This window comes from Homo sapiens, chromosome 15, assembly GCF_000001405.40.
Source record: "Homo sapiens chromosome 15, GRCh38.p14 Primary Assembly".
Taxonomy (NCBI): Eukaryota; Metazoa; Chordata; class Mammalia; order Primates; family Hominidae; genus Homo; species Homo sapiens.
Genome location: NC_000015.10, coordinates 46,137,114 through 46,148,387, shown reverse-complemented (window position 1 = coordinate 46,148,387; position 11,274 = coordinate 46,137,114). Strand labels below are relative to the sequence as shown.

Sequence of the window (11,274 nt, the reverse complement as noted above, 5' to 3'; positions counted from 1 at the left end):
AGAACAGATAAAGTGGTATATGCATACAATGGAATATTATGTAGCAATAAAAAGAATGAAGTAATGATACATGCTACAACATGAATGAACCTCAGAAACATTATACTGGCCGGGCGCAGTGGCTCACACCTGAAATCCCAGCACTTTGGGAGGCCGAGGCGGGTGGATCACCTTAAGTCAGGAGTTTGAGACCAGCCTGGCCAACATGGTGAAACCCCACCTCTACTAAAAATACAAAAATTAGCCGGGCGTGGTGGCAGGTGCCTATAATCCCAGCTACTTGGGAAGCTGAGACAGGAGAATCACTTGAACTTGGGAGGCAGAGGTTGCAGTTAGCAGAGATTGCACCACTGCACTCCAGCCTGGCAACAAAGAGTGAAACTCTGTCAAAAAAAAAAAATATATATATATATGTATACACACACACACACACACACACAGACACACACACACAAAGTTAAAAAGCTAGCCACATGGGACTACATATAATTCCACATATATAAAATGTCCAGAATAGGAAAATCTATAGAGACAGAATAGTGATTACTGGTTGACTTAGACTGATGGAAAGAAGAAATGAGGAATGATTACTAATAGGGTGAGGATTTCACTTTTTTTTTTTTTTTTTTGAGATGGAGTCTCACTCTGTCACCCAGGCTAGAATGCAATGGCATGATGTCAGCTCACTGCAACCTCCACCTCCCGGGTTCAAGTGATTTTCCTGCCTCAGCCTCCTGAGTAGCTAGGACTGCAGGCGTGTGCCACCACACCTGGCTAATTTTTGCATTTTTAGTAGAGACGGAGTTTCACTATGTTGGCCAGGCTGGTCTCCAACTCCTGACCCTGTGATCCACCCATCTCAGCCTCCCAAAGTGCTGGGATTACAGGTGTGAGCCACCATGCCAGCCAATTATTTTCTAAATTTAGATAGTGGTTATGGTTGCAAACTATGTAGCAATATTAAAAATAATTAACTGGAGATCCTTTAAAAGAAGCAGCACACCACTGTAAATTCTGTGAAATGTCACAGGATACTTGGGGTGTCACTTCATCAGCTGGAAACCTCTGTGGACAGTGGTGCCTTCACCCAGGTTTTGCCGGGGCCTGCTGGGCTCTTTCAGCCCACTTGGCCTGTCAGGCTGCACTTGCTTCATGCTACCAGCCTGGATCCCATGCCTGCCAAGGGCAAGCCAGGCATGGAGCAGTGAGGGGTGCGTGAGCAAGCAAGCAAGCTCAGAGTCCAGCCACTGCATACAGCCAGGCATGCCTGCTGCAGTGGAGTGAGCAGTTCCAGGTGCTGGGCCCCTGGGAGGCTGCAGATGGACCAGGTGTACCACAAACAGCTTCCACAGCTGGCACTGGGGAATGCAGTGGGGCACTGGGGAATGCAGTGGTGCCCAGAGGCTTGGAGATGCCAGGAACCACAGAGCCCCAGAGAGAGTGTTACAGCCCTGGCTTGGGAAGTTCCTAAGTCTGGGCTCCCCAAAGGGCTGCAGTTCTTCTCTCCTCCTCTCTTCTCTCCCCATCATTGTCCACAATATGGCAAGTAAGGGGCATGTTTCAGCTCTGTTTCTGTTACAGCTCTTTAGGCCCTGTCATTCAGCAGGTCCCAAGTTCTTCTCTAGCATCCAGGAAGAAAGAGGTAGTGGATAAGTGGAGGGAGAACAAGGTGAAGAGGTGCTTTATTGAGCTACAAAACAGCTCAAGGGAGACCTACAGTGGGTATCTCCTCTCTGCAGGTAGATCATCCTGTCATCTGCTCAGCTCTCAACAGAGAGGAGACCCACAGTGGGTAGCTCTTCTCTGCAGGCAGATCATAATATCATCTGCCTGTGTCTGGCTGAGTCTGGGGTTTTTATGGGCTTCAGAGGGGAGGAAGAGTGTGCTAATTGGTTCATGGGCAACCATGGGTGGACCTGAAAAAAGAACTGTAAGTTCTCACTCTGGTCCATGGAATTGGCAGCACAGCCCCCAGGCCTGAGGCCATCCCTGGCCTGAAGGTGAGGTTTCACTGAGGACCTGGCCCTTTTTGCCCAGGAGCCTGTCTGCCTCCTGCTGCCATTAACCTGTCATCCACGGTGCCCATTGCACCCAGGCTGTTTGTGCTGAGGGGTGCCTGCAGGCCCATGCTAAGCTGCCCTCAACCCCCACCTCAACCTCCCTGCCATGCTTGTCAGCACCCAACATCTGGAGGGGGCCATGGTGTCAGGGGACTTGTATGTCAGCACTGCCCTGAGTGTGCACACACCTGGCCAAGTCGTGACAGCACCCAGGCTCAGCCACTTTACTCCAAAATCAGAGTTGGCACCAGGAGTTGGGAGAGGCCAGGCAGCGGGAGCAGACATTTCTGAGTCTGTGGTGACAGGGGGAATTCCCAGGCTCCCAAGAGTGCAGAGATGCCTGGGTCTACAGCTGCAGCTGGGCAGCTGTAGCTGCATCCTGGAGGGCAGGGCTCCTGCCCCTCCAACTTAGAAGGGGATGGGGCTTCTGCTTGTTTGCAGCTCCTGCTGGGTCCATGGAGTGTGCAGCCCCAGCCATGCCTCCCTGACTGCAGCTGGTATCATGGCAGCAGCCACTCCAGATGGGCCACTGCTGCCATTAATCCCACCTCTGAGGAGGTTCATCTAACTTCCATTAGGATAGGGATGATGACTGGTCTTAACTGCTTTATGCTGACAAAGGAGCATTGTTTTGTTGGGGGGAAAATATCAGTCAGATCTTCCCTCAGAGGCTTATCTACAGGTCTCCAGTAAAAGGGAGCCATCGTGTGAGGTACCATTTGCAACACCATTTGGAGTTTGACGGTCTGAAGGCAAGAAGAGACAAACCAAGTTATTAGAAGACATGGATCAAAATGAAACAAGGGGGTAAGGACAGCTCAAAAATCCTGAAGCTGCCAACATGCCCAGAATCAGAATATTGTTCCAGATTTTGACATTACCCATCCCTTTCTGTCTTCTGAGCTTCAGTCAGAAATCACTGGTTGGTTCACAGGAATAAGCAGGGTTAGTCTAAAATGCAGTCCAAAACATTAAAACAACTAATGAGCACCTGTCAAAATTCTATAGCTGATTATAAACTATATTTTGAAGAGGATCAAAACAAGACAACAATTGTCTGTGAATGACAAAATGTCTTAGGTAGTCACACTCAAAAACATGACTGACAAAGAAATTCAGTTATTTCTGTGGTTTACAACAACATAATAACCCTAATTATGATTGATAGCATATACTCAGAAATTTGAATTTTAGAAGTCCCATACAATTTTGGAATATATAGATATTATTCACTAAAATATAGCCTGAAGATTAAACCTTTTTTATTTTGACAATCCCATGAAACTAAACATGTCAAATAATCCTGTTTACCTCTCTTTTGGATGCTCCAGGGGCCCTCTGTAGCATCCCAAAGTTAGGGGTCAGAAAAGACAATTTTGAGACTGAAATTTGATTTTAGGAAGCCTATCAAATATGTTAAAGTTTTAAAACACTTGGTATTATTAAATAACAGATCAGTGACTTAAGAAACCCTTGCTGTACTTTTATTCCCAATGTTTAATTTATGGAAAAACCAAATAATACCCTTTTGAATTTAGTCAATATGTTCACACACAGTATTTTTTTTTTTTTTTTACAAGACTAACTTTTACAAACCTTCCACTACTTGTTTAAACTTTTGGCTTTATCTTATATAATTTAAGACAATTCTTTAACCATCTAAGCAAAAATTTTCTTATGTTTTACTAAATACACATTTACTTTCCTTACACACCTTCCAGGTCAATCTATTTTCAGTCATCTCAATTACATGTTATAATGTTAACTCTTAGCAATTTTTAATTCTGGTGTAAAACCTGATAAGGTATTTTAGTTAGGTACTAGGTGTGGATAAGGTCTGATTCTTTTCAGCATAGCTAGGGGCGTGGTTAACTCCTACATCCCTAGGCCTTGCCAAACTGTAAAGCAGGCAAGTCAAACAATTTTCAAAAGCTAAAGAAGCAGTTTATGATCTTAAAGCATTTAACAAACCTGGTTTTTGACCTGTGTAATTTAGACTACATTTACATTTTGAAGACATTTTTATTTTACCAATAATCTTTGAAGCTGTTTTTATTTCTCAAAGATTAAAGTCATATGAACTAAAAGGCATTACAGCTTTGTTTTTCTTTAAAAATATTTGATCTAAGTGATTTCTTTTCTTTAAGCCAATCAATTAGAGGTCTCTTTTTATATAAAGACCACACAACATGTATATAACTACACAGACAGACAGAAGTAGATCAGTACTTGTAAGTTGTTTCATTTGCCAATCTCTTAATTGGATTACTGGCCTCAGAGTGGAGCCCCTCAAGAAACAGGCTAGGAAAACATGCAGTTTCTAGGGCCTAATAAGCAGGCGTAGCTGGAAGACAAAAACAGATTTTGAGAGGGATCCATTGCCCCTAATTCTTGGGGTTCCATGAGGAAAACAGAGGTTTTTCCCAAAATGGGGTCAGTGGTGCCTTCTGTTTTTCCCAAGGAGTCCCAGACCATCAGAAGTTATCATGGGGCCTTCTCATGTGTGCATTAAGAGTGGCAAGACAAAATGGAGAAAAATAATTCAGTCAACCGAGAAGAAAAATACCAGAAAAACAAGAACCGCTAATAGACATAAAGGCTTTTTAAATATACCTATAGCTTGGGTATTTACCTTTAATTAAGCTGACTTTTAATCATAGCACTCTTTTTTAAGGAGTCCTTTTAAATCTCTTGTTACCCAACCTTAGCCATACCAAATGGCCAATACCTCTGGCTTTTGAACTTATGGAGGGGCAGAGAACACAGTGAATTTTTATCATTCCTACAACCAGTTTGCACAGAGAGAAGCCAGAAGTCCGACTGGGAAAAACTTCATGTCAGGCTTCTGGGTTCCCTTCCCCTGAGCTATGGAGCCCCATCAACCCCGGAGTCCTGGAGTCCTGTGAAGGGGGAACAGACAAAGAAAAGTCCTTCCTCAAGAGATTGGGTATGTCTGACGGTCAAAAATGTTCCAGTGATTCAGGATGCACTCAAGAGGAGTGCAGGCAGAGGATGATTGGTTACCCGTTTGCAAAGACAGCAAAAGGCAACCCTTTGTTTCTTTCTTTTTCCAGTGAATACCTGGGGGTACATGAAGGACAGAAAAGAAGGTGTCCCCTTCTTTCTTCTGACCTTATATATCCCCAAGTCCTGGCAACATTTGCAGGGAGTTTCTCTTCATAGGCACCACAGCTGTGAATACACTGAGTTACACTGAGGCCAGCCCACCTCAGAGTCTCACCCAAGGTCCATAGCATGTTTTATCTGGTTATTGCTGCTGATTATACCAACTGTAAAATTAAGGCAAAGACTCAGACAAGATTGGAGGACTTCCTACCAAGAATGAAGTGGGCAAAGGTTATGAACAGACACTTCTCAAAAGAAGACATTTATGCAGCCAATAAACACATGAAAAAATGCTCATCACTGGTCATCAGAGAAATGCAAATCAAAACCACAATGAGATACCATCTCACGCCAGTTAGAATGCAATCATTAAAAAGTCAGGAAACAACGGACGCTGGAGAAGATGTGGAGAAATAGGAACGCTTTTACACTGTTGGTGGAGTGTAAATTAGTTCAACCACTGTGGAAGACAGTGTGGCGATTCCTCAAGGGTCTAGAACTAGAAATACCATTTGACCCAGCGATCCCATTACTAGGTATATACCCAAAGGATTATAAATCATTCTACTATAAAGAGCCATGCACACTCATGGTTACTGCGACACTATTCACAATAGCAAAGACTTGGAACCAACCCAAATGTCCATTAATAATAGACTGGATAAAGAAAATGTGGCACATATACATCATGGAATACTATGCACCCATAAAAAACGATGAGTTCATGTCCTTTGCAGGGCATAGATGAAGCTGGAAACCATCATTCTCAGCAAACTATCACAAGGACGGAAAACCAAATACCACATGTTCTCACTCATAAGTGGGAGTTGAACAATGAACACATGGACACAGGGAGGGGAACATCCCACACTGAGGCCTGTTGTGGGGTGGGGGACTGAGGGAGGGATAACATTAGGAGAAATACCTAATGTAAATGATGAGTTGATGGGTGCAGCAAACCAACATGGCACAGGTATACCTATGTAACAAACCTGCATGTTGTGCACATGTACCCCAGAACTTAAAGTATAATAAAAAATAAAAAATAAAAAAAGAATGAATAGGCATATTATTTCTCTCCAAATAGATTTGAAGTAAAAGGTAAACAAGATTTATTGGGTTATCTCCTGGCTTGATGTGTAGCCAAGAATAAGGTAAATTTAATTATGAGAAACAGTCTTCAAATGATACATATTGTTATGTCACATCCTTGGAATAGTTACAAAACTCAATCTCATTTCTATGTCTTTACTGTATTCCAGATCTGTTCAATTATGGGATATATAGGAGGTCTTCTACTACATTCGTATCAACATCTTCCGTTTCTAATAATTCTTCGCTTTATATGTATACATGTTTATAATATGGGCTTATGACTTCATAACCATGCTATAACTTAATGTATTTTGTCTTAGGGACTGCTATTATAATATTGACAACACTACTTTTTAACAGCTTCCTCAAGTTATAATAGACAAATAAAAATTGTATATGAAGTATACAATGTGGCAGAATGTATATATATAGCTTGATTATGGCAATCATTTCACTAATTAACATTTCTATCACCTCACATACTTTTTTGTAGTAGGAAATTTTAGTGCTACTCTCTTAGCAAATTTCAAGTATACAATAGATTATTATTACCTGTAACCACTATACTGTACATTAGATTTCCAGAACTTATTTATTCTGCATAACTGAAACTTTTTACCATTTGATCAGTATCTCTTCATTTCCCCACCACCAGCCCCTGTCAACCACCATTCCACTCTCTGCTTCTATGAGTTTGACTTTTATGTATTTCACATATAAGCAAAATTATTGAGTATTTGTCTTCCTGTGCCTGGCTTATTTCACTTAGTATAATATCCTCCAAGTTTATCCATGTTGTCACAAATGACATGATTTCCTTCTTTTTCAAAACTTAAAAATATTCAACATGTGATATATATTTAATGTATAGGTGTGTGTGCCTATGTGTTTTTATATAGATATAGATATATAAATATATAAATCACATTTCCTTGACCATTCATCCATCATTGGACACTTAGGTTGATTCTATATCTTGGCTATTATGAAAAATGCTGCAGGAAACACTGCTTTATTTTTAGTTAATCTCTTTGCCCATACCTTTATTTTTAACCTTTATCACTTGGTTTAAGTCTTTTTTTTTTTTTTTTTTTTTTTTTTTTTGAGACAGAGTCTTTCTCTGTCGCCCAGGCTGGAGGGCAGTGGCGCAATCTCAGCTCACTGCAAGCTCCGCCTGCTGAGTTCAGGCCATTCTCCTGCCTCAGCCTCCTGAGTAGCTGGGACTACAGGCGCCCACCACCATGCCTGGCTAATTTTTTCTGTTTTTAAGAGAGACAGGGTTTCACCATGTTAGCCAAGTTTAAGTCTTTCTTTTAAAAGATGTGTAACTGGGCTTCATTTTCTTAAGCCAGTCTGGCAGTCTATCTTTGAAAAAGAGAACATATATTCAGTCTGGTATATTTAATATAATGACAGTTTTTTCAACTTCGTATTCTTTGTATTATTTTTCCTAATATCCTTCTAGTTTTATCAATGTGCTATTCATTACATACTTTTCTATTTCATTAATACTTAGCATTTTCCCCCCACAATCAGTTGTTTATATGAATATGAAATAACAGAGCAAATAGTTATTACCCAAACCCAATAAGACCCACAGAATTTTTTATTTCCCTTACCCTTTTTTTGCTGCTGCCTCTTCTCATGAGAATTTTCAATGTTTTTACTTCACCTTTTTATTATAGCCATCTCCCTCAACCCCCCATGACAACTTTTAGATATTGCTAAAACAGTTTAGTAATTTCATGTCTATGGTTACACTTAAGTTTGTCCTTATTTTGCATTTATATTATATATTCCCAGATATTCTATTATCTATTTAGATTTAATTATATTTCAAGTTATACTATTCGCCACTGTTTCCCCTATGCATTTTCCCCATCTATGTCTCTGTTTCTGCTCAGTGGTTTGGAGATTCTTCTCAAAGATTTTTCTCAGATCTATTAAATGTATGCCCAAATTCCAAGATTATATCTCCTTTTATTCTCTGAATTAAAAGAACTGCAAACCAGGGCTCCTATGTGAAGCCAAGATATTCTGTTATTAGTCTGGAAGCTAGGAGAAAGTGACATTGCATCTACACTATTACCATTTGTTTCTTTTCTCTTTGTGAGTTACTTGGTTTTTCTACATAGAAGCTTTTGAGAGTTTTTACTGGAGTTCAAAAAAGTTTTATTAAAATGTGCATAAGTGGATTATTTTATCATGAATCTATCCTGGAATTTAATGAGTCCTTTTAATCGTTGAACTTAGTTCAGTCTTTATTTCATGGAAAATTTTTTATTCAATAATTGCCCTATTACTTTTTTATTCAACATATCCATGTTAATGGTACATATGTGTCTACCCCTAATTGGAACTTTTATTACTTGTAAGTTAGTTTCATATATGTGTATATTGATAGATACACACACACACATGTGTTTGTGTGTGAGGTGTATGTATATATTTATGTGCATATATATTATTTTTGAAGTCTTATTTTCTTTCATTTCTAGCTATACACATATATGTATACATACATATATAATGTATAATGAAAGAGATAATGAGAAAATAAAGGTAGTTAACAAATAAAGTCTAAATATGAGAGCAGGAGGATGCTTTTTCTAATTTTTTCCTGCAGTGACAGAGTAGGCACAGCAGATAAACAAACTAAATATTTGATAGTTAGGGTAGCTGACCTTCAAAGATGAGTCAACTCTCAGCCAAGGCAGGTCTATTAAGGGTAGTTCCCTGGTTGGGAAAACCTAGAAATGTGACACATAGGATATGTATATCTGGGTAGATGCCCCTGAAAATTGTGGCCCTGCAGACTTCCCTAAACCCTCAGGGCCTTCAGAGTCAGTGCAACTCACCCTATGGAGCTAGTCTACAACCACATGCCCACTTTGGTCAAGTACTGTGTAATCCTCCTCCATACATGCTATAGCAGCTCCCATCAGAAACTTTCCAGAAGCATATGATTAGTATTATCCCATTTTAACATGGTTGGGAATACCAGTGACACAGAAAATAAAGAGATTACCATACAGAATGGTAAGAATCAGCCAGCATGTGCTAGCCAAGGAAGTTCCTGTAGGATTGGATTTTGAAAGTTCCTGATCAAGAAAACTGGAATATAATACTAGATAAACATAACTGATTTGGGTGCACAGGATTCAGCACTTTTCCAACTGTCCCAGGGAATAGGGAAAACTCATTGCTAAAATGGCATTTACATTAGAGCAAATGATGACCTATGCTGAGTAAAGTTGAAATGCCTGAGTTGCCATGGTAGATTATGGAGTGCCTCATTATATCCTGGCAAGAATGAATCTTGAAAATGACTATATACTACTGCAAACTTAGCCAAGTAGAAACCATAACTGTGGCTGCTGTGCTGGAGATAATATCTACATCAGATTAATGGGTAAATTATGTGCAGCCATTGATTACATGAATGTGTTTTTTCCCTATCTAATTCATGAAAGAATATAAAAACAGCTCTTAGCAAAACTTCATTCACATGAGGTGAACAATAAAATACATTTATAAACTATAATAACTCTCCCTCACTGTCATAATCCAATCAGAAGATAGCTGGGCCATATAAACATGTGAAAAACATCACATTGATTCATTTTAATCATGCCAACAAGCTGATGAGGCAAGATGTGTAAGAGGTGGCACACTGAAGGCCTTGGGTAAGAACTATGTTCTCTGGAAAGCAAGAGAGGAACCCTTCCAGGATTTATCACATTGTTATTTTAATAAAGTATCTAAGTGATATACAGTGGTCAATGATGTTCCTGGATTATCTCCAAACCAAAACATAAATTGCTGCATCTTGCATGACCTGTTACAAAGAAGGGAGCACAATGTCTGGTCTGCCTCTTTGGGTTTGGAGGGTAGCATATATCTTCAGGGATATTTGTCTGGCCTATAAACTGGTGACAAAATGCCTACCAGTTTTAAGTGGGACCTATAACAGAAATGTGCTCTTTTGCAGGTCTAGACTGTGATGTAAGCAGCTTTACACCCCTTCAGTCAGAGAATTCAGCAGATCTGATGGTGTCAATGTTATTATAATAAAGGTTTATTTTACAGTTTGTGGAAAGACCTGGGCTTCTGAAGCAAGCAAGGTCATATTATCTGGAGAAGAGAATTATATGCCTTCAGAAAATGGTTTCTGGTCTTTTACTGGGGCCTGGTATAGATGGAAGGCATTATCACAGAATTCCAAGTGACTATTTGTCACTGTCACATTAGTTATGAGCTGGGTTATATCTTGCCCATTAAGTCACAATGGACTGTTGCTCAGCTTGTCTAACCTCACAAAATGGACATGGTATATTCTGAATTGGGCTCAAGAAGGAGGGGTACTAATACAACTTATTTTTGCTCTCTAGTTTTGACCTATACCAAATGTTAGCAAGTATATGGAGCAAACTTTTCTCTCATGCACTGCCCATGGGAAGATAAAATTGCACAATCGCTTTGGTAAACAATTTGGCAGTTTCATAAAAAAAGTTAAACATACACTTACTACATAATTCAGTCTTTCCAAACACAGGTATTTATCCAAGATAAATGAGAGCATATGTCCATACAAAGACTTGTACATGAATGTTCATATCCGCTTTATTTATAGGCAAAACTAGGAACCAACCCAAATACTTAACAAGAGGTGAGTAGATAAACCAATTATAGTATATCCATACAGTGAATACTATTTAGCAATATGAGGAAATTATTCACATAGCAACATGGATAAATCTCAATATAATTATGCTAAATGATAGAAGACATAGTTTTTTGAAAGTGTGTATACTGTATGATTCTAGTCTCGAAAATGCAAGTTAATATATAGTGACAGAGTAAATCAGTGTGCAAGAGGGTAATATGATTTTCTGTGTCTCCACCCAAATCTCATCTTAAATTGTAGTTTCTATAATCCCCACTTCTTGTGGGAGGGACCCACTGGGAGGTAATTGAATCATGGGGTCTTTAA

At 39.6% G+C, this 11,274-nt stretch overlaps 1 annotated feature.

Annotated features, from left to right (window-relative positions):
• Positions 2,286–2,787: an enhancer, noted in NCBI's record as "H3K4me1 hESC enhancer chr15:46437799-46438300 (GRCh37/hg19 assembly coordinates)". NCBI's record gives its function as "activates a minimal SCP1, AML or CMV promoter by ChIP-STARR-seq in primed H9 embryonic stem cells {active_cell/tissue: H9 hESC(primed)}" and the evidence as "EXISTENCE:reporter gene assay evidence [ECO:0000049][PMID:30033119]".